The sequence below is a fragment of the Homo sapiens genome, chromosome 12 (genome assembly GCF_000001405.40).
Source record: "Homo sapiens chromosome 12, GRCh38.p14 Primary Assembly".
Lineage (NCBI taxonomy): Eukaryota > Metazoa > Chordata > Mammalia > Primates > Hominidae > Homo > Homo sapiens.
In genome coordinates this window covers 43834401-43862392 of record NC_000012.12, presented here as the reverse complement: position 1 = coordinate 43862392, position 27992 = coordinate 43834401, and the positions used below count along the sequence as shown (strand labels likewise).

At 40.6% G+C, this 27992-nt stretch overlaps 1 protein-coding gene across 8 annotated transcripts in view, besides 4 other annotated features; it reads right to left on the bottom strand.

The window, feature by feature from the left end:
- The window catches only part of TMEM117 (transmembrane protein 117), a 603307-nt gene that overhangs the window by 536716 nt on the left and 38599 nt on the right, over window positions 1-27992 (bottom strand). For 5 of the 8 annotated variants that reach the window (XM_047429665.1, NM_032256.3, NM_001286211.2 and 2 more), the window contains exons 1-2: window positions 26197-26312; window positions 17465-17769 (exon numbers count right to left, since the gene is read on the bottom strand). In XM_047429665.1, the coding sequence (XP_047285621.1) occupies window positions 17465-17741 (277 nt within the window). In that variant the 5' untranslated portion in view covers window positions 17742-17769; window positions 26197-26312. Of the gene's footprint in view, window positions 1-17464; window positions 17770-25806; window positions 25967-26196; window positions 26313-27992 lie in introns of those variants that run through there. The other 3 variants (XM_011538832.3, XM_047429662.1, XM_017020022.2) reach the window with 3 other exon arrangements.
- Window positions 260-460: a silencer, noted in NCBI's record as "peak1704 fragment used in MPRA reporter construct". NCBI's record gives its function as "represses an SCP1 promoter by STARR-seq MPRAs in K562 erythroleukemia cells {active_cell/tissue: K562}" and the evidence as "EXISTENCE:reporter gene assay evidence [ECO:0000049][PMID:32103011]".
- Window positions 25839-26071: a silencer, noted in NCBI's record as "fragment chr12:44230125-44230357 (GRCh37/hg19 assembly coordinates)". NCBI's record gives its function as "represses an EF-1alpha promoter that drives an FKBP-Casp9 reporter gene in an ReSE screen in K562 erythroleukemia cells {active_cell/tissue: K562}" and the evidence as "EXISTENCE:reporter gene assay evidence [ECO:0000049][PMID:32094911]".
- Window positions 26058-26497: a silencer, noted in NCBI's record as "silent region_4372". NCBI's record gives its function as "represses an Ori minimal core promoter by ATAC-STARR-seq in GM12878 lymphoblastoid cells {active_cell/tissue: GM12878}" and the evidence as "EXISTENCE:reporter gene assay evidence [ECO:0000049][PMID:35858748]".
- Window positions 26528-26637: a silencer, noted in NCBI's record as "silent region_4371". NCBI's record gives its function as "represses an Ori minimal core promoter by ATAC-STARR-seq in GM12878 lymphoblastoid cells {active_cell/tissue: GM12878}" and the evidence as "EXISTENCE:reporter gene assay evidence [ECO:0000049][PMID:35858748]".

Genomic DNA, 27992 nt, shown 5'->3' with positions numbered 1-27992 from the left:
GAGGTCAGAAGATCGAGATCCATGGTGAAACCCTGTCTCTACTAAAAATGCAAAAAATTAGCTGGGCATGGTGGCGGGCGCCTGTAGTCCCATCTACTCCCGTGGCTGAGGCAGGAGAATGGTGTGAATCCTGGAGGCAGAGCTTGCAGTGAGCCGAGAGCACACCACTGCACTCCAGCCTGGGCAAAGGAACAAGACTCCATCTCAAAAAAAGACAAAAGTTTATTTCCTTCTCATACTATATGTCCATTGAGGATCAGTTAAGGGCCCTACTCCACATTGCCTTCACTCTGGCAGACTCAAGCAGACAGCGAAGCAACTGTCTGGAAAACTGCTGATAGCCAAGGAAGAGAAAAAGAAGCTGGAGGGTCTGGCATGTGCAATCAAATGCTCTAGTTCAGAAATGCCACACATCACCCCTGCTCTGACCTAACCAGCCATAACTAATCACAAGTACAACCTCACCACGTGTCAGACATGATGAGACAAAAATATCTGATGAATTGCAGGAATGACCGACCACAATTGTATATTTTCCCCCATCAGAATACATAACTTATAAGAACAAAAATCTTGAGTGTTTTGTTATTATTATTATTCACCACTGTATCCCTAGTGCATAGAATCAATCCTCCCACATAAAAGGCACACTAGAAATATCTCTCGAATGAATGTATAACGTCTCTTTTACTACCCTTTCTTGCATACCTAAAGCTAAAATATGTCTAGACTTGCTCAAAGTATTGTATCTAAAGATCTTCCTCCACCCACTGTGACAGTGTTCCGAAGAAGAGTAAAAATATTCTTCTTTCATATTCAATTTGATCTGTCATCTAGAATTCAGCTGTTAAGCAAATTCTCTGTCCTCTTTTAAACATAGATTGTTAAGCACTTGTGTTTACAAAATTCAGTGGATAGCATAGAGTTCAGTAATCTGTTTAAGCTCTAAATAGAAGCAGGGGAGCAACCCAGAAAAAAACAGATAAGAGTCATTTTCATGCGCCTGATCTAGCAGACTCATGGCTGGGGTTATAACAGGGAAAGAATCTGAGAGGTCTGTGAACCTCCATCTCTACAACCCCCTCCCCGACATGGACAGAAAATCTATTCATCCCTAGAGAAAGAAAGATGCTTTTCTTACTCTATGGGGGGATCTGAGAGTGAGAACTTTAAAGACAATCAACTGTGACTTCCCCACATGGCTGCCTCCAGGACCACGCTCCCCACCTCCACTGCTGAAAATACTATTACAAAGTTAGCATTGCCTCCACTACGGACAGGGATGGGGAACAGGCACAGAGAAGAATCTCTCTTAAAAATTATTAAATAAATCAGCCTTCCTAAAAAGCATCTTCCTTCACTTCTATGTCCCACTGGAGGGAGGGAGGTGAGGTGGACAGCCCCATAAAGGAGCCATAATGGGGAGCTGAGAAGAGTAAAGGAACTGCCAGAATAAAAATCATGGATCCTGCATTCTCTCAGAATAAACTAAGACAATGAGCTCAAGGGCGTCACTAAAACACCAACTTTAAATATACCATATTTAATTTAGAAACTAAATAAAGCTATACGGATTTATATGTTTATTGGTGTCTCCCTTTTACTTAAGGAGAGAAGGCTTGTTATAAAGCCTTGTTATAAAACCTATGACCGGCTGTCCCACCTCCCTCCACTTCTCCTCCTACTCTCTTTTCTGTTCCCTCTGCTCCAGCCACTGACCTCCTTGCCACCTTGTTCACTAAACACTCTCAACACACCACTGCTCTGGGGCTTTCAGGGCTGCCCTGCCCTCTTCTTGGGATGTCTTCCCCCAGAAAGCTACATAGGTTGTTCCTTCATCTTCCTCAGATCATCTCATTAGGGAGGGAATTCCGGGAACTCTCTGGACCCCTCCCTAGACTCTCCCTGCTTTATTATTCACCACAGCATTTATCACCCTCTGATATAATATATAATGATTTATTTGTTTATTATCCATCTTTTCCTACTAGACTGTAAGCTCAGTCACAGCAGGGACCTTGTTGGGTTCAATGCTGGATCCCCAGGGCCTAGAAAATTCTAAGTGTTTATTGAATGAACAAAATCAAGTCCTATATCATTAAGGCTCCTGTACTTTGCAAATGAGACAAATTAATGAGCATGATCCACAAATTCAACAAATGCTAAGCTTCAAAAAAGAAATTCTTCACAAACTGGGCCCTGTCACGGGGTGGGGGGACTAGGGGAGGGATAGCATTAGGAGAAATACCTAATGTAGGTGATGGGTTGATGGGTGCAGCAAACCACCATGGCACGTGTATACCTATGTAACAAAACTGCACATTCTGCACATGTACCCCAGAACTTAAAGTATAATAATAAGAAGAAGAAACTCAATGACATTAACACCTTCATAGCTTAGTATCAGTGAGCATAAATCTGTTTTTTCTTAAAGTCTCTTCTAGTGTCACAAATAACCACCAGAACCACACATTTGTTTCTTTCAGCAAACTTGGAGAATAAAGTAAGATGATCTAATGATAATTTAAGTTGCCAATTTTAGAAATAGATTGTTATGCCTTATGTTCAGTATATGATGGGAATGGACTCAGGGAATAGGAGTCCTTAAAATGATGTTATTTAGAATAGAAGAAAACTGTATTTGCACTATCAGTCTTCCTCACATATTCTCTTCCTTCCTTCCCCTCCATTTCATTCTCATTGCCACCACTTCTAAATCAAGCCTTGATCACTTGAGGTCAGTTATACCCCAGCAACTGTGGCACACCTCCCTGCCTCAAGGCCAACTAAGCCTGCATGCATTTTCCTATGATACTGTTTTGATCTCGTCATCTTTTTGATCAAAAAATTTTTCTTCTTTGACTTCATATATTCTGTTTTTTTTCCCACAATAGGTTTATATAACTTTTTACATTTACAAATCAAGAAGGGAGAGATATGCTCCATGGCTTCCTATCATTTTCAGAATGAATTTTAAGCTCCCAAATCTGGAATTCCAGACCCTTCACAATTTGCACTGAAGTTTCTCTTTCCTGCTGCCAGTCTACCCAAAACTACTGATCCAGAAACACTGGCCTGTTCACACTCTACACTGCAACCATTTTGCCCGTTCCTTCCCCACAACTTTGCGCTTGCCACTTCTCCAGCTTGGAAGGCCCTCCTCCCTCCAACAGAATTCCGCTGGAGTTGTAATGGCAAAGCTCAGGTTCACACACAGGAAATGCAGAAACAGTAATCGAACACAGAGACTTCTTTGGGGATAATCGCCTTTGTTGGAGGTGCTCAGAGATTGGCTGAAAATGTAACAAGAAAGCTCTCACCAATTCCATTCACTCTGAGATTCTATGATTCCCACAAACTCCTATTTCTCTAGGAAGCTTTATTTGATGATTTCTCTTCGGTTTGACTTCTTGCCCCCTTCAAAAGAGACTGTCCCTTCCACTCCCACTGCAGTGCTGGCAATTATCATATTTGATAATTTTCCCTCCTAAAAGGCAGAGGCTCATGGCACCTGGTGCTTTCCCTTGCAAATAACAGGTATTCAACACATTTGTCAATGATGATGTTGAAAAACAGCACAGTTCAAACAGGAATAAAGTGGAAAGGACATAAAAGACACTCTTCCCTGAGATACTGAAGAGCAAGTTCCAACTCACTCTCTCAGGTTTGTGTGTATTTGCTGGTTACTCTTAGCTAGTCTGTCCATTTCAATGGCTACATCCTCAACGACACACAAAGTATCATAACAAGCATGGAGTAGCCTAAGAATATCTAGATTTCACTCCTCTGAAATTAAGGGGAAAAAGTATAGTCCAGCCAAGAAAATGAGGTTACTGATGGCCACAAGGACAGGAAGCATTGTACTGAGTTTCTCTGGGCTCCACAGCAATGACAGACTTTGCCCTGAAACTATAGGACTTCTTGTGGGGGCGACTAAATGACTTTCTTTAACCAAAAGTGAGAGCTGGTCAGGCAGGAGGTGGTGCCAGAAAAAGATGCCAGAACACAGGCAATGCAGAGCAAAACTGTAGGGAGTGGCCTAGCACAATCCGGTCCTAAGGCAGACAAGGCACACCGGCTGCCAGTTCGCCATCTGGGATGCCTGAAAAGGCGCCTGTCTGGGAATCAGGAGGCTTCGGTTTATGTTCCAATTTTACTGCTGGCTACTGTTATGACCTTGAAGGCAGGCAGATCAACCCTGTACATTTCTATTTACCCATCAACAATAACTCTGGGTCACAGCCACGATAGGAATCCAAATTAAAAACAATAGGACTGCTTGGACCACCTGTGATACTCAAAATCAGATATAGTGTCAAGGCCACCACAGTAAAACAACTAAAGCCTGTCTTTGGAGAAGCCCCTTATTCCAGTCTGACCCTCTGCATATCCCTAAATCTTCTAACAGCGTTTCTTTGACCCGTGCTTCTATCCAGAACCGTGCAGGGCAACATAGTTACCATATCAGCACATTCGCCTACTTCCTCCCACCTACCACCACTTATTTATCCTTTGGGCACAGATCTCTCTATGATGGGATTGTTAACATCCTTGTTAGTTCATCACACCTCTCAAGTAGCATAATATTTTAAACCCAGTGAAAATATCTTCAAGAAATGATTCTAGTTGTAGGAATTAATAAAAGATAAAAGGAAATAAATCAGGGGAAAATTCTGGCAGCATCATCTCAAATCACAGTACTCTACTCAGCCAGGACTGATTACCCCTTTATTTGAAGAATAAGCAAACTAAGACCTCTATCAATATGGTTTTAAATGAATCAAGTAATCAAGCACTTTTCATTTTCAATTTTACCATATGTTATTTAACCAGCTGTCAAATTCCACCCTGGCTGGTTACATCTCACTAATAGTGAAGTGGTTTCCCTCTGCACCATGTATATGAGTCTGCCTTCTGTAATTCCATGTGATAGCCCCCTTTGTGAAAAACTTCTAGCATTACCTCCCATGGGTAGGAAATGAGAAAAGGACGTGGAGGCAATGATTGGACCTGGTAAGAAAAGAGTCCCTTGGTCCCTGAATGACTCATTTGTATCAAGTACAATAAAAAAAAAAAAAAGTACCTAGAAAGGCACCCTGGTTCATAATTGCTTAATTATAATGCTCTAACCTAAGTTAGTTTATTAAGTCCTTGAGGTATCCTTTTACAGTGTTTGTATCCTCTGTCCTAGGGGAACTAGAGCAGCCAGACGATTCTATCACACTGAAAGCTGCATGAAGCTCATTGCCCTTTAGCGCTAATGGATGTGCAACTGACTGCACTGCAAACTAATGAAGGCACCTAATAAGCAGGTGTGGGAGGAAATGGCCATGTCCTTGGGATTTCCAGCCTTACCTTGCTTTCCTGCTCTAGGAGAGAGAACATAACAGGAACACAAAGTAATAAGATCAGCTTTTTGAAAAGGGCTACAAAGTTCAGTAGCTCCAACACACCAAATCTCCCTCTGAAGAAGGGTGTTCCTGGGAATTTTTTAAAACATCAAATATCAATAATTTTCCAGGTTACCTTTCCTAATCTATCTCATGTCTTTTTAAGGAACTGCTTTTTTATTTTTTTTTCATGAGTGTTCATAGATTTGTGATATATAAAAACTGAAAAAAATAGAAATGTCTATCAACAGATACCATGGGTAAACAAATTTTGACACAGTCACACAATACCAGTCAGAAATAAAAAGGAATGAAGTATTGATACATAAAACATGAATGAATTTCAAAATTATGCTGAATGAAAGAAGCCTGACAAAAAAGAGTATATACTGTATGTTTTCATTTATATAAAATTCTAGACAATGCAAACTAATTTATAGTTGACAGGAGTGGTTTGGAGAGGGAGGAGGAGGATTGTGATGGGGTATGAGGGACTGTTTCATAGTGATAGACATGAGGAACTGCTTTTTTAAATTCCTTATGCCAGAAGGTCACTCCAAACTTTGAAATAACATTTTTCTCTAACTTAAATTCTGTTGGTCACTTTGGGCTCTAAAATTACTAACTCTGTGAAAAAGGACTGGGTCTTGACAATTCAAGCACCTAGAAGAAGTATGATTCCAGAACTCCATACAGACTGGTTGAGAATGAAGATGGTGACACAACATTAAATATTTGTCATGAGTATCTAATATAACATTTTGAGGGGGCAAAGCTTAAAACTATAGATATTCTACATGGCATTTGGCTATATAGACAGCGTCTGTTCAAATAATTTCCCCAAAAAAGTCCTTAGCACTCTGATAATACAATTATTAAAATAATCAGTTGTTGACATTTGCCCTGAGTAGTCATAAATACAGTTTTAATATACTCTCAACGACCATGATAACTTGTTGGTTATTTATACTATTCAGCTATTCAGATCTCAAATTAACACAAAGGAAGTCAAACCATACCCATATCATTGTATTAAAATAATAGTTTTTTATTCCTAAATGTCGAATTCTTCATGTTTTGATATTCCTGTATTACCATGACTACCTTGACCATGCTTTTCAGAATCTTTTAACCTCTTCTATTTTGAAATGATAAAATCATATGTGCAGTTCAACATACCAAAAAAATTCAAACTAAGCTTAAAGCTAAGAAAATAGAAGACAAACAGGCATTTCACTTTATTAAATTCATTAAATGACAAAATATTGTTGAGTTACTTGGTATTGTATGGGAGATATCCTTTTTGTTACAGTAAAATGAAATATACAAACTAGAATTTGTCTTCCCAAATCTCTGGATATATTGAGGATGCTTTTGTCCCCAAACTTCCTGTTTCAAACTAAAACAGACATAGGTACATAGAAAATAGCAAACCCCTTAATGATTTGCATAATATAAACACAAGAAAAGTACATCTTTAGCATGTATTCATCTATGGCAGATATTTAGTTATCAAATTATTCTATTTTTTTAACTACAGCATTTTTAAAAAATCATGATTTTTATGCAGCTGGCTATCTTGGGGTAAGCAAAGATGTATATGAAATGCTTATCAGGGAGGCTGAGGTAGGAGAATCCCTTGAACCCGGCAGGCGGAGGTTGCAGTGAGCCAAGATCACACCACTGCACTCCAGCCTGGGCAACAAGAGTGAAACTCCATCTCAAAAAAAAAAAGAAAAAAAGAAATGCTTATCATAGTCAAGTACAGGTCCACAATCCAGTTTCCACAGTTCCGAGATCCAAAAGACTCTGATTTTTGTAACTAATTTATTCGCAAAACCTGACCAAACCTGAATCCATTTAGTAGCAACACCTAACCTGAACTTACTTGAGTCTGTCTGTGGTCTTTACTTATCCAACTTCATGTAAATATGTATACATATATACAGAAATATTAACATGTCTGATGATGGGGTATTTAGCAGGGTGACCTTAAATAAAGGCAAATGCTCTAAATTCTGAAACACATCTGGCCTCAAGGTTTTGGATAAGAAGTGGTGGGCCTGGGCCAGGAGCGGTGGCTCACGCCTGTAATCCCAGCACTTTGGGAGGCCAAGGCAGGCAGATCACCTGAAGTCAGGAGTTCGAGACCAACCTGGCCAACATGGTGAAACCCTGTCTCTACTAAAAATACAAAAATTAGCCAGGTGTGGTGGTGGACACCTGTAATACCAGCTACTCAGGAGGCTGAGGCAGGAGAATCGCTTGAACCTGAGAGGCAGAGGTTGCAGTGAGCCGAGATCACGCCACCACACTCCAGCCTGGTGACAGAGTGAGGTTCAGAAAAAAAATAATAAATAAATAAATAAATAAAAATAAAATTTTTTAAAAAGTGTGCCTGGACTAAGCTTAGTAACACACACCTTTACTGTTCTGTGAACTGTTCAAGGTAAATGAGCCATCACTTATGTGCTCATGACCTGCTGTCATCACTTCCTTAACTCATTATCTTCTTCTCTAACCAGATTCCACTATGGACTTTTTTTTTTTTTCAGTAGGATAATCACTCCTCCAGTCTCCCAGCCTAATCTTCCTAGTTACCTTTCATTTCACTCTCACTCTTGCCTACTCATATCCTATCAGTTGTGGAGGTTTCACATCGCCTCACATACCCCAATCTGCTTGCCTTTGCTCCACCCCTTATTTTAGACTAGTCTGAACAAACATAAGCCAGAATTATTGCAGGCAGCCCCCAAAATAACTTCTTACTTCTGTTTTACTCCCCAAATCTCTCCCTTTCCAATTCCCCTTAAATTCTGCTTCAAGATTAATCTTGTCATCATCTCACACATTGTTCAAATATTTTCGTTGACTTAAAGACTGTAATGGAAGAGATAAAGTCTAAAGATAGAAGACTGGCATTTAAAGACCAAAGAATTTTGGCCCAACCTACCTTTTCACTGCAACGCCTCTTTCCTAACATAAATTGTTCTCAGTCAAAATGAGCATGAATTCTTCAGCTTTTACCCCAACTCCAAAAAAAAGCTGAGTTGTCTCCATCTTTGCTCACACTTTCTACCCCATGACCTGAAATCTATAAGGAATACCTTTCATCATATCTGACTATTTTAATCCCACTCACGCTTGAGACTCAATTTAGGTCCCACATGGGCAACAAAGCTTTCTTCCCCTGTCCTGGCCCACTATGATCCTCTCTCCTAAATTCTCACAGCACTCACAGTCCATACTATTCATTTGATACTCGATACACATTTTCTTGTATCATCAAGAGTGTTTAATTTTTCATGCATATATATCTTGTCTTTTTAACCAGATTTTAAATTCCTTGAGATCAGAGACCATGTCTTATTTTTTATAAATGAACAAATAAATACCTTTCTATATCTTACAATAAAAAGGCAATACTGGGCCAGCCACAGTGGCTCACGCCTGTAATCCCAGCACTTTAGGAGACCGAGGCAAGGTGGATCACAAGGTCAGGAGATCGAGACCATCCTGGCCAACGTGGTGATACCCTGTCTCTACTATAAATACAAAAATTAGCTGGGTATGGTGGCAGGTGCCTGTAATTCCAGCTACTTGGGAGGCCGAGGCAGGAGAAGAGCTTGAACCTGGGAAGCAGAGGTTGCAGTGAGCCAAGATTGCACCACTGCACTCCAGCCTGGCAACAGAGTGAGACTCTGTCTCAAAAAATAAAAAAGGTAACACTGGCAAAGACAACATGTAAAGGATGAAGAAACAAATTTATTTATTCAATCAAATGTATGGAATGCTACTGTGCCAGGCATTGTTTTAGGCACTGAAAATTAAAAGGTAAGCAAGATCAACATAATCTCTCACTCATAGAGTTTCGGGTATAGCTGGGAAATCAGACATTAATGAAACATTATACAAATAACTATATAAGCAAACACATGTTTGGAAAAGGAAGTATGCAGTATTAACAGGTTTAGAATCATTTTCAGATGCAACACCTACCAACTCATTCTGAGGTGGCCTGCCTTCCAACCACTCCAGTTTCAGCTAAGTAATACCTTCAATGAATACAAAGAACATCATTCTTGTTGAGAGACTGACAGCTCCTTATGGTGGAGGTCATCTGACAATGTGTTAAAAGGGCAGTGTTAAAAAGAAAATGACAACTAATAGAGGATCTCTGCACATGTTGGAAAACAAAAGTAAAAGAGAGAAGGTAAATAATAGGAAAGGAGTTTGTCTGAGAAATACATTATTACAGTCTTGATGTTCTAAAATCCATCCTCAGATAAAGCTATTCAGTCAAAGTAACTTGAACCCTTATCACTTTGCCCTTCATAGAAATGTTTTCATGAAATAAAGCATCACAGGCTTGCTTTCATGATTAATTGTTTTTGTTTGTTTTTGAGACAGAGTCTCGCTCCATGCCAGGCTGGAGTGCAATGGCACAATCTCAGCTCACTGCAACCTCTGCCTCCTGGGTTCAAGTGATTTTGCTGCCTCAGCCTCCCAAGTAGCTGGGACTACAAGCATGTGCCACCACACCCAGCTAATTTTTGTATTTTGTTTTTTTTTGAGATGGAGTCTTGCACTGTCGCCCAGGTTGGAGTGCAGTGGCGTGATCTCGGCTCACTGAAAGCTCTGCCTCCCGGGTTCACGCCAATCTCCTGCCTCAGCCTCCCCACTAGCTGGGACTACAGGCGCCCACCAACACGCCTGGCTAATTTTTTGTACTTTTAGTAGAGACGGGGTTTCACCGTGTTAGCCAGGATGGTCTCAATCTCCTGACCTCGTGATCCGCCCGACTCGGCCTCCCAAAGTGCTGGGATTACAGGCATGAGCCACCGTGCCCAGCCAGTTTTTGTATTCTTAGTACAGACAGGGTTTCACCATGTTGGCCAGGATGGTCTTGATCTCTTGACCTCGTGATCAGCCCATCTCGGCCTCCCAAAGTGCTGGGATTACAGACGTGAGCCACCGCGCCCAGCTGGTTAAATGTTATACTCTACACTTTGATGAACGTTTGCTTTAAGACACAAGAATATGAAATCCATTTCTGCATTTGCCACTTCACCATTCAGCATCTCTTGTACCAAGCACAAGAAAAAAGAAATGCTTTACCAAAATTTATAGCAAGGAAGTTCTACAATTTGGTGCAAAGAAAAAGACCTCTGTTGAACTTACAATTTTCATCACTGCTGATAACGACAGTGATGTAGTTTCCCCTTGTGCTCAGCTCTGAGGAAGCTCAAAACCAAGCAAGGTTTTGAAACCCATGAAATCAAAACAAATTTGATTCTGCCTTTTCCGTGGTCCTGATTTTCTACTTCTACTGTATTATGCATGTATGTTGCAAATAATTTCAATTCCTTTTTGGAATAAAAATTATTTCTTGAATAAGCTCAAGAAATTAAATTCTCCTTGAATATAAGTCCTAATTGTAGGCATAAGAATTTTGGATGTCTCTATTCATGGATATGTCTAAAGTATAATCCCCCCAAAAGCTAGGATGCATTATTAAAACACATTTTAAAAAAAAACTAGAATCATCCAAGCAAATGAGAGAGAGAGGTACTGGAAGAGTATAAACTGACATTCCAATGGAATTTAACTTTTATAAATCCTAATACCCAAAGATTCCATTTTAAACTAAAAAAAATTCTAAACATATCAATTCTGATTTCAGAATTGCTCCTGAATTATGTTATTACCTAAAGAGTCACAAAATCATAACATTTATGTCTCACAGAAAAATTAAATTTATAACCAATGAAGTATATTAAATCATGTGCTCACAGAATCATTCACTCTTTCTCACACATCCCTTAAATTGGCAATACTGTATTGTCCTTCTGGAATCTACTAAGAAGAGACTTCCCATAACAAAATAAATGAAGGAAGACTTACAAGTTGATTAAATGAAAGGGATAGTGGCATTCTATATAATATCTGTGTTTGGTATCTTATTAGAGAATTATATAAAAAAAAGAAGCTGTTTAGTTGATCTCAAGAAATGATTCTGATCATTTTTGTAAGGCATTCCAATATTTCTGTAACAAAAATTTCTGTGCTCGTCATTAGCAATCCCATTCCTCCCAACATACACACAACATCATCATCATCATCATCATCACCATCATCATCACCTATCAGAAGTTTGCATGTACAAATTGTTAAATATGTCCTTTTAAAAATGAATAATGAATAAATGCTAATTATTTGGGAACCAGGGCAGAAACATTTATCATATACCAAGCCAATAAGAACATTAATGTTTGCATTAAATTTTTAATTATTTTCCCTATCATTGCATGGCTGTGACTCTTTGGTACAAGTAGTCACAAGCAGGAGCTGAAGAGAAGACAACTGAAGTCTTACGGGAGGGAGTCAGAGAAAGTGTCACAGAGGAGATAATGCTTGAACTGAGATTTGAAGGAAAATGGAAAACTAGCCAAGGTGACAAAGCAGAGAGGAGCATAATGGGCATGGGAGAGCACATACGCAAAAAAACACTGGGACATGAGATAACATGGCAAGTTTGAGAACCAGCAAATATTTCCCTGCAGTATGTGGAATGTGAAAGATCAGGTTTGGAGTGAGGAAGAAGTAGATCATAAATAGCTTCGGATATCAATCAAAGGAGTTTAGCTTTTATTCTGTTGGTGGTTCTGCAGGTCAAAGTAACTCCATCTTAAATGCTAATCCATCATGTTGACTTCTGATCAACCCTAGTTCTGAGAAGGCCTCTAAGATTTTTACTTACCATGAATCCTTCCCTTAGGCAAATTCCCCATGGTGTATAAGCCCTGCGTCTGGAGGATAACAGGGCAAGGATCCATCATCTCACAGGTACCGAGACATGGCTTCTGTTAGTAAGGCCCTATTAAATGTTGTTTCCTGTGAAAACGGATGTGTCAGCCTCTTTCTTCAGCCTCTCAGCTCCTCAGTCTTTGGGGATAGGTTTGCACAGACCTGCTCACCACAGAACAGTGGTAGAAGCCATTTAGCAATATGAAAAAAATAATTCCACTAGCAAAATCCATAATGAACAAGAGGAGCAGATAACTATTAGGAGGAAATGATTAATAGTTCATGAAGTAATGAAGAATCAACTGCCATGAGCAGAGACAGAAGAAGAAGACAAGTTCAAAGTTTATTAGGAAATTGGATCAGAGAATGAGAGGTGACAAGTTCGGAGTTCATCAGGAAATTAAATCAAGAGTCCTCACCAAGATTTACAGAAGGTTATGATTCCTTCTCTAATATTCCATATAATTTCATAGGTTTTTAGTAAGAAAAAAAGGAGAAACTGCCAAATAGAAGAAATAAAGCTGACTACATCATATAATCTTTTCTACTGTAAGTAAAAAAAAAAGAGAGAGAGAATTCACTTGCATTATTTTAAAATAATTTGTACTCAATAAATCACTTGAAATCGAAAGTGCTTTTTCAGGGCTGATTACTTATACCACCAGGAGAATTAAAATCTAAGCCATAACTGAAATGTGATTTTAGTATAAGAGATAAAAGTTTGCAACAGAATAATTTAACAAAATGTTGCAATTACAAAACCAAATGTCCTGTTTATAATTAATACCATTAGCTTAATGGTGTGATTCTCAATCAATCTTCAATATAGACAGATGACTTTTCTCCAAACTGGATATTTTGGTCTAAATTTGCCTTAGCTTCCTATGCTGAGAAAATTTCTTGAATGGGATCCAAATACATCCAGCCATTGCTTGTAACAGGTATCTACTGTTTTGTCTCCCCAGCACTCTCCATCCATTTTTGGAAAATGACCCACTCCCATTCGCTATCCACCCTTATCCTCTTCTATCCATATAATTACTATGTAGGACATGATGCTTGTTTAATGTTTGGTGGATGATCCAACTGAGTTCCTAAATATTCTCTGTGTCAATGAGCCATCTCTCCACTCCACTTTAGGACTCACTCTCTAAAGACCACACCCTACTTGGGAATCACTACTAAAGAATGGTTTACTTCTGTTACAACATGTCATGTGACCACACCCACAAATCCTTTCCCCTTTCTTACTCCCATCTCAGCTGTTGAGTTTCATCCAAATCTTTAGGCCCCTGCCCACTCCTCCCAGACTGTTACAGGAAGTCAGGGACTCCGAACAGAGGGACGGGCTAAAGCTGCGGCAGAGGAACATAAATTGTAAAGATTTCATCTTAATATGGACATTTATCAGTTCTCAAATAATACTTTTATAATTCTTATGCCCGTCTTTAATCTCTTAATCCTGTTATCTTCGTAAGCTGAGGATGTATGTCACCTCAGGACCACTGTGATCATTGCGTTAACTGTACAAATTGATTGTGAAACATGTGTGTTTGAACAATATGAAATTAGTGCACCTTGAAAAAGAACAGAATAATAGTGATTTTTATGGAACAAGGGAAGACAACCATAAGGTCTGACTGCCTGAGGGGTCGGGCAAAAAGAGCCATATTTTCTTCTTGCAGAGAGCCTATAAACGGACATGCAAGTAGGAAACATATCGTTAAATGCTTTTCCTAGCAAGGAATATTAATATTAATACCCTGGGAAAAGAATGCATTTCTGGGGGGAGGTCTATAAACGGCAGCTCTGGGAATGTCTGTCTTGTGCAGTTGAGATAAGGACTGAGATAAGCCCTGGTCTCCTGAAGAACCCTCAGGCTTACTAGGGTTGAGGAAACTCAACCCTGGTAAATTTGTGGTCAGACCGGTTCTCTACTCTCAAATGCTGTTTTCTGTTGTTTAAGATGTTTATCAAGACAATACATGCACTGCTGAACATAGACCCTTATCAGTGGTTCTGCTTTTGCCCTTTGCCCTGTGATCTTTGTTGGACCCTTATCAGTGGTTCTGCTTTTGCCCTTTGCCATGTGACCTTTGTTAGACCCTTATCAGTGCTTCTGCTTTTTGCTCTTTGAAGCATGTGATCTTTGTACCTACTCTCTGTTCTTACACCCCCGCCCCTTTTGAAACCCTTAATAAAAACTTGCTGGTCTGAGACTCAGGCGGGCATCACAGTCCTACTGATATGTGATGTCACCCCTGGCGGCCCAGCTGTAAAATTCCTCTCTTTATACTGTCTCTCTTTATTTCTCAGCCGGCCAACACTTATGGAAAATAGAACCTATGTTAAAATATTGGGGGCAGGTTCCCCCAATACCAGACCATCATCTCCCTCACCTGTTTTCCATGTCCAACCACAACCCCCTGTCAATCAAATGAATAATGCTTTTACTAGAACTCTCCATTTATTTTCCATCCTTTGTTTCCAATACAGCAAGCCTGAGCAGTCCCCACCCAGATGAATCATGCTGAAATTCTCTTCTGGATGACTGAGCTCTCAAAAAGAACACTGCTCAACAATCCAGATTGGTATCATTCAAATTTATAGTGGCTAACAATCTTCATGATAATCAGCAACCCTTTCATTTGTTCTGAGTCAGTTCACTTCCCAACTCCCTAGGGCCACTGTTCCAAACCTTGACCACTTCCTTAAACCCATTGCATCATCAAGCCCCTCCATCTTTATCATGGGATCTTCTTTTTCACAGTAAAACAGAGGTTATCAGGTTAAAGAGATATCAGGTTATCAGGTTCAACAGAGAGAAGAATATTCACCTTCCTGTTTCTATACCTCAAAAATACCTAATATAGTACCAATCTTTATCTCACCCATGCCTATATTTGAGAAACCAGGGTCTCTCCTCTTGTCCTCTCTAAGCCACCATTTCTACCTGTGTCTTAAGTCCCAGACCACAGAAACCTTCAGAGATGCTATCTTTCATCTATATCTTTTTATCTCCACTTTAATCTAGCTCCTTCTCCCACAAATATCAGCAGGTCAATTAATCTTATCCCCCAAATAAAACTATCTGCCCCACCACCAACAACAAAATTTTCCCTTGGCCCTTCTTCCATTTTTAGCACTTCTCCATTTCTTTCTTCTAGTTTCTCACCAAATGTCTAGAAACTATGTGCATCTATACATATGTGTGCATTGTATACATATAGGCACAAGACGATATAAAATATGTACATCTTATATATTTATATAATAGAAACAGATGGCAATAATTTGAGGAACAGAGAAAAATACATACATAATACTACGTGTATGTGTGTGTGTACGGATAGTTATTTATTTATTTATTCCTTAAAACATTGCCATGGTTTCTAACCCAAACTCTAGACCAAAAATACCTTCAGTAAGTCACCTATTTATCTTATCACTGCTAAGTCCAAAGCTCTATTATTACATTCTCTTCCTAATTGACCCAGCACTCAAAACTACTTTCTTTTCCCCCATTGCATACAGAGTATACATTTATTTGTTTAGTCTTTCTCTCTCCTGTAGGAAGTAAGTTTTTATGAAGGCAAAGACCTTGCCTGCTTGATTCACTGTCTAGAATTGTGTCTGGCATGTAATAAGCGATGAACATCTATTGAATAAATACCACCTACCTCTAGGCAAAAATCGGTTAGTTCAGAGGTGGGAACCAAACCCTGAGACAACTTCACACTCTTCCCTGAGAGTTTAAACTTGAGACCAGGAAAGTCAACCCAGTCTCTCTAGGTAATAAAAATTCATTTTCAGTGTAAAAGGAGAATAAAGCAGATATTATAGAGAGAGACAAACGCATCATAACAGATGTCAAACCCTTGGTTTCATTTATCCCAATGTCCCAATGTCCCTGTCACTTCATTCTACCCTCAGTCTCTGAAATATCCTAACATCCTTATAGTAAGTTACCTTTTTAACTTAAACTAATTTAGTCTCTTCTTCTGTCATTATCAAGAGATCCCTTACTAATATACTATTCTTTGGTTGGATAGGCTCAAAATAAACATCCTAAAGCCAATGTTCAAAAAAAAAAGAGAGAGAGAGTAAAAGTTTATAGTTCCAACTCCCTGAATGAACAATATGTGTAAAATATATTTAATGAAAATGTGCTGTGATATGGAGGCATTTTTTTATGATTTATAAACTCTCTACAACACTTTGGTACTATTTATGAGGGGAAAAGCTATTTTCATGTTCATATCTTCTCTAAATAAGATTACGTATATATCACCATGGAATACTATGTAGCCATAAGAAAAGATGAGTTCATGTCCTTTGCAGGGACATGGATGCAGCTGGAAACCATCATTCTGAGCAAACTATCACAAGGAAAGAAAACCAAACACCACATGTTCTTGCTCATAGGTGGGAGCTGAACAATGACAACACTTGGACACAGGGTGGGGAACATCATACCCCAGGCCCTGTCATGGGGTTGGGGGAGGGGGGAGGGATAGCATTAGGAGAAATACCTAATGTAAATGTTGAGTTAACGGGTGCAGCAAACCAACATGGCACATGTATACCTATGTAACAAACCTGCACATTGTGCACCTGTACCCTAGAACTTAAAGTATAATAAAAAAAATTTTAAAAATAAAAAAAGTTTTTAAAAAATGACTAGGTATATATTCATTTTATCTCTAATGCTCTTTTTTTTTTTTTTTTTTTTTTTGAGATGGAGTCGCGCTGTGTCACCCAGGCTGTAGTGCAGCGGTGCAATCTTGGCTCACTGCAACCTCCGCCTCCCAGGTTCAAGCGATTCTCCCACCTCAGCCTCTCAAGTAGCTGGGATTACAAACATGTGCCACCACGCCTGGCTATTTTTTGTATTTTTAGTAGAGATGAGGTTTCACCATGTTCGCCAGGCTGATCTCAAACTTCTGACCTCAAGTGATCTGCCCACCTTGGCCTCCCAAATTGGTGGGATTACTGGCGTGAGCCACCACACCTGGCCTAATGCTATTTTTTTTTAATGAAGTTTGGTACTAATTTTACCTCGTGCTAATTTTCCTTAGACAGTAGGAAAAGTAAACCATTAACAGAGAGTAGTTGAAGAACCCAGTTACAACCATGCATAACAACTTAAGGCAGGAGGACAAACTAAAATGCCTCCTACATTGGCACTTAGAAATAGCAAAGTTGTATCTTGGAGAATAGAAATTAAATAATTAGTGATATTACATTTCATGGGTCATGGTACTTACCAAACAAACGCTGATGGAACAGAAATTTGCCAGCTATTAGTCCTGTGAGAATGGCAAGTAGCCATAGAAGCACCTTCAAAATCCTCCAGCCAACTCCTCTAGGGTATTTATTTGTAACAAATGAAAAACAGTTTCCAACAACAATAACATTGGCTTCTGTTTGGCTATGAGAAACTGGGTCCTCCGCAAATATTAAGAAGTTAAAGAAGATCACCAAGTAAGCCACAATCATGCGAGACCAGGGATGCTGGAAATAGTAACGAAAGTCTTTACCCATTCTTCAGAACTCCCAGTTCGTAGTTTACCTGTATAAGAAAAGATAGATAGGGTTAGAGGAGGAAAACAAGTAATGGCTTTCTTCTTTTTATCAGTTCAGGTTTATAACAGTTCCATAAAAATGTATTTGGAAAAGATGATACCTGTTCCTACTCATGGCTCCAAGACAAGTCTGAGAATGAGGAAAGCGAATACTGTCCCTTCCCTAACATCTAATCATACCTCTGATCATCTGGGGACTTAGGAAAGAAAAACAATGAAAGAGTATGGGGAGACAATGGGATGTGAGAGGGCAGAACACTGTCCAAAATTGGGATGGTGACCAAGATGACATGTAGAGGCCCTCCCAGGCGGAAATGCAGAGGTGGCACAACCATGGCTCATTGCAGCCTCCACCTCCTGGGCTCAAGTGATCCTCCCACCTCAGCCTCCCCAGTAGCTGTGGCCACAGGCATGTGCCACCACGCCTGGTTAACTTTTGTATTTTCTGTAGAGACAGGGTTTCTCCATGTTGGTCTTGAGCTTCTGGGCTCAAATGATCTGCCCACCTAAAGTTCCCAAAGTGCTGGGATTACAGGTGTGAGCCACCATACTCGGCCTCCTCTTTTTGATTATTACAAAATCAAAACAATATAGAGGTAAAATGAGCATATATTAACAAAAGTTAAACAATATTCTCTCCTCTGCCCAAATCCCTCTCCTCAGAGTTATGATTGCTTATGAATTTGGTGTAATTACTTTCAGATCTTCTTCTAAACATTGACAAATGTATACAGGTGAATAAACTTTTATTAAAATGTTCACAGCCTAGTTATCAAATAATTTCAATAGAGAGTAAGTTCTATGAAATAGCTAAGTCTACAGTAGAGTAGTAGCCCACAGAAAGGACTGGGCAACTTTGCATTGGGTGAATGAGAATAAAGAGGAAGATTTCACAAAGGATATCCCCAAGTTTAAGGTTGGAGGATTAGTAGAATTTTTTTACTAGTGAAGAAGGGACAGATAGAAGGCAAGCCACTCTAGGCAGTGGCTACGGCACATCCAAAGGCACAGAGCACTGCAAAATATGTAATATGCCCACAGTAGTAGGTCCTAACCTGAATATGTGCACTGGAAGTACATAGCTGTCTTAAAATGAAAATGTTCAGGCCCACCTCCAAAGTCTTGCTTAGCTCCTCCTTCTCCCCTCTTTGGGAACCGGCCTGCCCATAAAGAACACAAGCTGTAACTTCCACATGAAGAGATCTGTCTGGGTCCACCAGGGCTTGTAAGTGGATGATTATGTCTATCTAATTCTGGGGTTTGGACTTTGTGAGCCCATTTGGCTCTCAGACTAAACTATGTCTGTTTTTCAGCAATAACACTGATTAAATCTTAGATATCAAAAATAATACAGACAAAAATTTGACTGCCATCTGCCAATTCATTTTTCTTCTCTCCCAGTTTAGTTAGAATTCAGAAAGGGAAGAGGGGGAAGAGGGGGAAGAGGGTCCTTTACAAAGCCTACAGCAGTTTGCATGCCAGGCTCTGTGCTGGATGTCTGCGTGTATCATTGTATCATTTTTGTCATAACAACCCCCTGAAATACTGTTATTATCATTCCTGTCACTTCATTTTACAGGGTGGAAATTGGGGCTGACACAGATTTTGTAACTTGCCCAAAGTCACCTAGCAGGAGAGCTCTGATCTGAATCTCTGAGGCTGACTCCAGGTGCTGATCACCATTCTCTGCAGACAGCCAGATCAACTCCTTGCACCTTCCTTGCCTAGAGAGCAGGCCCAGGTCCCAGTCCCAGGGATGCCATCCCTTAAATGTCTTCTGGAGACATGTTCTTCTCCAGACACAATTATAATAACTCTGTAATATATCTACTTCTAATGCATAAAAAAAAATTGTGTGTGTGCGTGCACGTGTGTGTGTGTGTGTGTGTTGAGAAAGAATCCTTTATAAACCCTGAACACTTGGTGGGGGGAGTATCCATTAATAAATATTCTCACTTTATACATGACTGAAATCACAAAGACCATGCCACAAGCCTGAAGTAAGTCAATGGAAGATCTGAGATAGCCTCCAAGGCTCCTGAGTCCCAATCCAATATTCTGGGCTGACGAATGCCAATTCAACCCACAATCTTAGTTAATGAGGACTTGTCATGACTATTTTACAAAAGCAATATAAACATTGGCAATATAAACATTGGCAATAGAATTCAGCCAAGCAAATAGTGACTGTGCCCTGGATTCATAAGCCTTCTAAGCAATTTTAAGTCCCTTGTTATCTTTGTGAACACTCTGAAATCTGTCCCCAGGGGCTGTAGCTTGGACCACCTAGGAATGGTGACTACCTCAAGAGTCTTGTTTTTGTTTTCATATTTTTCAGTATGAGGCTCATCACCTGCTATAGCAGCAGAAACTTATATGTGTGACTCTCACATCAAAGAGAGCAGAGCAAGTAGTGAAGAACAAAAAAAATGAACTTTTATGTGTTTTCATGATATTCAATGTGTAAGAATGCCAGAATAGGTTGGTTTTGAACTCGATTTCACACAACAGTTTTGGAAGTGTCCACAGACCACCACTACAAAAAAAATTCATCACTGGTCACCAGTGAGTCATGAAAAAGAAATAGTTCCCATATGCCCATCAGAACTAGAAAGGAGTATTATTTAAGAAGCTGTTATTACAGGCTGCTGTTGCTTCTTTCGCCAGTGAAGAATTCTGATATGGTTGCTATCACCACCTCCCCTCCCACCATGAACACACAGAATTAAGGCAGTAGGATTTAGAAATACTACTGAAATACCATTATTATCATTCCTATCACTTCATTTTACAGAGAGGAAACTGAGGCTCACATGGACTTTGTAACTGGCCCAAAGTCACCTCTCAGAAGAGCTGTGATCTGAGCCTCTGAGGCTGACTCCAGGGCCTGATCACCATTTCCTGCAGACGGCCAGATCAATTCCAATACATATAATCTTGACTCTTTTTTTAAATACACGCATTTTGGAGGCTAGCACATACTTATTTTCTTGTTGTTTTTAAGTTCGGAAACTTGCTTCGTGGGCTATGTAATGTCCACATGCTCAAGTTAAATTAGAACATTCAAAAAATTTCTGAGACAGCTGTTTCTCTCCAGCATTTATATTATTTAGGGAAGAGAACTATAGCATTGAGCAATAATCCTGCACTAGTACATGATCTTATTTAATTACCACAGTAATGCCATGAATGCTACTATCACTGCCACATTACAGGGAAGAAAACAAAGGCTCAGAGCAGTTGCTGCCTGTTTAATTTATATAACAAGTGGAAACATCAGGATTTGAATCCAGACTTACACCTAGCCCTTAATCTTTCTAATATACCACAAAGCTGGAAGTGTTTCTTCCAGTAAGATATTTCCCATCATGCTTACAGCTCATTCTTTATTTCCACTAACAATTTCAACTAGCAGAACAAAACAGGACTCCATTATTGATCATTTAAGCTGGCTGGAATTTATTCTTGCCTCATAATTCTGAAGTTGAAGTGATATCTTCTAGAGGGTCCCAAATTTCAAACCCTTACATAATAATTTGAATTAAACCTCTGCTTATCCTCACTTCATGACTTCGTACACAGGCTGCAAATGTTTGCCTAGTCCTCTCAGCCCTACTTTCTAGTTCCTTAGGTACCCCAATATTATCCAGAGAACCAAAACTGTTTTCACCTCTGTAGTGCACATAAAACATCTTTACAATCAGTATGATCATTTGGTGTATCTACTGTTAATTTAAATGCAGGCTTGAGGCTGTTCAAATGGACTATGTTACACAGGGCACATAGTCTGCAAAACCTTTCCATTTTTAAAAATTCATTTCTATAACCACAGATGAGAATGAGCTTTTATCTTAGCTCCTGGCTCACTATAGTGAAATTATCTATGTATGTGTTTGTCTCCCTCACTTGATCATAAGCTCCTCAGAGAAGTGGCTGTTTACTGCCAGGGCACAGCACAATACTGGGCTCATACTGGGTGATCAGTAGGCATCTACTGGATGAGCTGAGTGGTACACTCACAAAGAGAAGCTCCCTCATTGTTTAGGTGAGATGAGAAGGTGGAGCAACCTGCCATTCAACTTCCGCTAAGGCAAACAAAGCGAAGAGAAGCAGTGGAGTCCAAGGACTGCATTGATGACGTGGCCAGTAACAATACTAATGCACCCCCCCTCAACTCCCTCTCATTTCAGCACGAGGTGTTAAATTAATATTTCTAAGGCTAACATTTATTAAGCACATACTATATACCAGATACTATGCTGATGAGCTTTACAAGCATCTCTTAAATTTCATAGCAACCCAATGAAGAAAATATTATTTTCCTCATTTTACAAATATTGCAACAGAGACTTAGAGTTCCGTACCTTGTAAAGAATAACAAAATTAATTTATATCAGAGCCACAATTTAAATCCAAGCCACCTGGCTTCAACACTCCATGCAATGCCTTCCACACACAAGGACATAAATTCTAAAATCTTACCCTTTACGTTAGTTAGAAAAATAAAGCCATCTGATATTAAAAAAAAAAATCACAGTACTTCTATTTTGTGCAAAGGCACAAAGGAAACCGCCTGGGGCTGATGTAGAGATGTATCACTAGTTCTGTGTGGCTGGAACACTGGGTGCTTGGGGTTATCCTGTGAGAGTTAAGGATAATTTGGAGCCAGTCCAACAAAGATTATCCAAAAGTGTTGGTCTGTATTTTACTGAAAATAGAGAATTATCAAAAGTTTCAGAGCAAAAGAGTGCTGATCATCATATAAAAGTGATGATGTACAGATTTGTTAATTCCATAATAACATTCATTCATTCATTTGTTCAACATTTACCAGTTGCCTATTTTTTGCCAGGCACTGGCCTATGTGCTAGGGTAACTACCAGACAAAGTCCTGTTGCCATGCATCTGATAGTTTCTTTGAGGGAAACAGATATTAAACAGATAAAAACTAAACACAGTATTTAAGAAAGTTCAAAGAGAAAATTAAAGCAAGGAAAAGTTAACAGGGAGTGTCAGGTGTGAGGGAAGTTGAAGACCTCATTATAAGGTGACATTAGAAGACAGGCATGAAAGAAGGGAGAGAAGACAGCAGCTATCTAGGGAAAGTGTGATCCAGATAGAGGGAACAAAACTTGGAAAGGCCATTGTTGGGTGCACATTTAGAGCAAATTAAGGATCGTTAAGGAGGGCAGTATGACTGGATGGGGAGCAGGTGCAGGGGAGTATGAAAGAGATTAGGTACAGAAGGTAGCATCTGATCATGAGCAGGCCTTGAAGCCCTCGTATGTGGGCTTTCACCCTGAGTGGGACAGGAAGCAGAGGAGGGACACAATCTGACTTATATGACAGAAAGGCCTGTCTGTTTCCTGGTTGAAAATATTTTGTAAGAAAGGAGGGCAAGGAACAGAAGCAGGGAAGCTACTGAGGAAGCCGTTGCCAAAGATGCAGCAACTTGGACCAAGCAGAGAGAAATTAAGGCAGTTTAAACAACTCTGGTTCTGGACACATTCAAAAATAACTAATAAAATTTACTAATACATTGGATGTAGATGTGACCTAGGCAAAATCCAGAATGGAACTGCCATTTCCTGAGATAGAAAATGCATTTCCTGAGATGGAAAATGCATTTCCTGAGATGAAGAGGGATGCAGTAGATATAGACAGCAAACTTGTAATTAACACTTTTTAGTGCTTTTAGGGGTTGGGCTCTTGGAAATCACTATCCATGTATTCTCTCAATTATTCCTGATACCTGCCATTTGGATTTACCAGTGAAGAAACAGAAATTCAGAGAGGTTATGATCTGTCCAGGGTCATAAAGCTACCAGCTGACAGAAACAGGCACGACTACCTCTATATAACCCCAAAGTTATTACTCTTAGTTACCATTGTGTGAAGTATAAAACACAGAATAAAATTCCAATGGGAAGGAAGTAAGAGTAAGTACTAAGTGATGACTTGAATCTAGTAGGCCCTCTATAGATATTTGCTGATGGATGAATAAATGAATAAACAGATGTATGGATAACACGTAACAGACCAGCCTGGGTGAGGGAAAAAAAAAAAAAAAAAACTGGAAGACTCCATTCCAGAGAGAGTAGAGTCTGGATAATACATATCCAAATCTGCAAAAGGATAAATGGAAGAAAGGTGAAAAACCAAATATATGGAATGTCCTCAAAGAGCTACAAACTTTCAAAAGCAATCTCAGGTGGCAAAACATCATTTCTGTTTTTGTCTATTAGTGGTATGGGGATGTGGGGGTGGGGAGAGGCAGAGCCCACAAGGGGTATGAAAAGTCTTATACTTACTTTCCAACCTACCTGGTCTCACACACACACATATGTACACATACACACAGACCAGTCCTGAGGTAATGACAGGTCTGAGTACATTATCTTAAATTGTTAGATAAAAAGGCAGGAAAAGATTATACATAGCATTTTACATAATGCAAGTGCCTAATACAGGTTAAAAAAAAAACACAAATAGCAATAATAACAGAAATAAAGTTAGAACTTCTTACTTTTAGTCTAATACAAAAGACCACAGGGGCTTTTAAATAAAAAGCAACCTTTTAAGTCAATCAATAAAACCACCATAAGTGGTTCTGATAGATTCCAGGATAATATTTGTGGTACCTTAGCTAATTTAGAGGTTTACATCTATAAATCACTTCCTAGATTTTCTCTTCACATTGTCTCAACCTTTAAGTGATTTTTCTTCCCTTGTTCCTATCCTGCAGTCCTTGGGTAAACAAATTGCTTAATCAATGCAAGTTTTTAAAACAGCAACTCCAAAAGCAAAGTAGGTCTAGGGGTCCTCTGAACAGAGAAAACTCTCCATTGAAATGGCAAAATATTTATGAGCCGGAGCACATTATAAAATTAAAATATAATCACTACTATATCCTTTAAAAATGTTTAGACCTCCTTTTCAGTGATTTGTTTGCAATAAGGAATTGCCAGCCCGGAGCAGTGGCTCACACCTGTAATGTCCGCATTTCTGGAGGCCAAGGCGGGCGGATCACGAAGTCAAGAGTTCGAGACCAGCCTGACCAACATGGTGAAACCCCATCTCTACTAAAAATACAAAAATTAGCCAGGCATGGTGGCGCGCGCCTGTAATCCCAGCTACTCAGGAGGCCGAGGCAGGAGAATCCCTTGAACCCGGGAGGCGGAGGTTGCAGTGAGCTGGAAATCATGGCACTGCACTCCAGCCTGAGCGACAGAGCCCGACTCCATGAAAGAAAGAAAGACAGAAATTAAAGAAAAGAAAAGAAATTGCCATGATCATATTCCAAACACAATGCCAAAGAAAAACACATTTAATGAATTAAATAGAATTCATGTGAAAAGTTTATTTTTTAATGACAGCTTAAAGAAACTTAGATAAAACTGACAAGAGCCAGTTTCTCATCACACGGATCAGATGGAGGGTGGAATAGGAGGGATAAATGCCTGAGACAAAATGTCAAAATCCATAATTACTTTTAAACTATAAAGACTTGGGGGATAAAAGAAAGTATATCCATGGTCAAATGTCAATACTTTACAAAAAAAAATGGGGTTTACAGGGATTCAACTACTTTTATATTCAATAAATTGGAAGACCTTGTTTCTGAAGCCAAAACAAAACCCTGTAGCTTCCTAGAAGTCCTTCCTTGGATTTCAGACAATACATCATTTATAATTGGGGGCAATACATACCCTTATATTCAACATACTTTTACTCATTTTTTTTCCTTTTTGGTTCCTGATAAGCATGTGATGTTTACTCCCGTGTCTCTCTCTCTCTCACACACGCACACCCACACACACATACACATACTTCATTGTTCCACAGAGGGTAGAACACACTTGTGGGCCTGTGGCATTTTCAAAAATAGGAATGAAAAAAAATAGTTTTATTTAGTCACGATGAAGTTAGCAAACACCCAAACACCCAAGTCTTTGTTTTTTTCCCAAGAACAACACCTACGAACTGCAACCTGTTAATTTAATTAAGAAAAATAGGGCTTTTACTCAGTTCCTAGGCTAGGAATCGCTGAAGCAAGGAAAGTTCAAGGTCTGCTCTCCCGCCGTATCTCTGCACACACACTGGAGCCGGGAGTTTGAGGACTCCCACCAAGAGCCTTTCGCCCGGGAGTCTCCTCTGCCCTTAGCCAGAGGGCTGGCGCGTCCCCCCTCCCTCCTTGACACTTCACCCTGCCTCTTTGGCTGCCATCCCCAGGAAGGCAGGAGCAGAGGCGCCGGAGAATTCGGGGGCCGGGCCGGGGTTCCGCGGCTGCTTCCGCACTCGCGGGCAGTGACGAGGTGGCAGCCGGGACACGGGCGGCAGGGCCGGGAGGGCTCCGCTGCGGCTGGACCGAACGGCTGGGGAGGCTCGCCCAACGCCCGGGCCCACGTACTCACCCGAAGGGTCGCGCGGGGCGCGGGGCGACTGCACACGGGATTCGCGGTCGAGCACAGCCCTCGGCGCGCCGGCGGCCTCGCTGGGAAGCGCGGCGAGACGGGCCGGCGGCGTCGCTGCCGCTGCTGCTGTCACGGAGCTATAAATACCGGCTCGGCCCACACCCGCCGCCGCCTACGCCGGGCGCCCTCCGCGCCGGTGCTTCACCGCGCCGCGCTCCCGCCGCAAAGTCCGCGGCCGCGGGCCGGGCAACGCGAGCGCAAGGGCACCGGCGCCGCGCAGGTGACCGCGATCATGCCAGCTGTGTGCAACCTCTGCAGCTGGAGGCATGGCTTCTCCCCGCCCCTGCCCTCTCGCCCGCACCACGGGCTGACTCCAGCCCGCGGGCCGCGTGCGCCACGGGCCGAGCCTGCCCGGGCCGGCCCGCCTCTGCAGAGCGGCAGCTGCAGGCGAGGGACGGACTCAGGAACCTGGTGGGGGTTGGGGGGCGGCTGACAGAAAATCCACCATCCTGCAGGGAACCAATGAGGGTCCCACTGGAATGTCCTCGAAGAGCTACAAACTTTCGAAAGCAATCTCAGGTCGCAAAACATGATTTCTGTTTTTGTCTGTTGGTGGTGTGGGGATGTGGGGGTGGGGAGAGGCAGAGCCCATGAGGAGTATGAGAAGTCTTCCACTTACTTTCCAACCTGCCTGGTATCACACACACACACACACATATGCACACATACACACATTCATACACACATAGAGATGCACAAATACACTCATGCATACATATGTATACACACATAAGCACACGTATACACATGCATACACACATATGTACATCAGCACACATACTCATGTACAATTTTTAAAGTTTTTGCAGTCTGAGGCTCTCCGGAGCCTGTCATTCTATGATACCTAAATGATACCTCTGCGGCATAGGGCAGGAAGACCCTTTGACTACATCTGACCAATTCCTCTCTTCCTGAATGTAACCTCCTTTCCATCATGTATGTGTGGCCTCTGTTTCCTTCCACACCTAATAGCAACTGCTACCTCAGTTTACCGGTTGCTGAAAACGTGTTAACAGCTGCTATCCAGCATGCTAATATTTTGTGGTAATGGAAGTTATCACTAGTGTATATAATCAAATGGAAAATAGGATTTCTATATGCCCATATTAGCAAACTTATGAAGGCAGAGCTAGGCCCTCCCCTGTACTGGTAGCCTGATTCAGGAATGGGTGGATGGCAAGAGGGAGAACTGAGATGTCCGCGGATTTTAAGATGGGATGGAGAGAGCCATGCCCAAGTGCCATAGGGTAGTTTATCTGCATAGGCATAATTGGGAATTCACTGCCATACTTCCCACTAATTTGACATTTTTCTAGCTTCCAAAAATGACCACGTATATATGGATATATATAAATATGCCTCTCATATATATGAGAGTGAACTCAATCCACTGCATAATCAATTGAACTACATGGGTGTCTACTAAAATGAGCTTCAGTTCATCAGAACCGAAATGTCATTCAGCAGCTTGTCTTCTGTCTTCTTAAGAAATAGAACCCCCACATCCCCACACCACTGGATATATAGTAGTCAATCATTTGTGATCATTTTACAGAACTCTTAACTAGTAAGGTTCTCTTTTGTAATGCTTTAACAAGTTTTGCCAGAAAGAGTTGTTGCCTATGCTAGCACTTGGTACATTTTACTATTACACTTTTGTTGTTCTTTTTTGCAACTTCTTTTTTCTCCCACTACGCTATGAACTCTTCAAGGGCAGAGATTAAATCTTACTCATG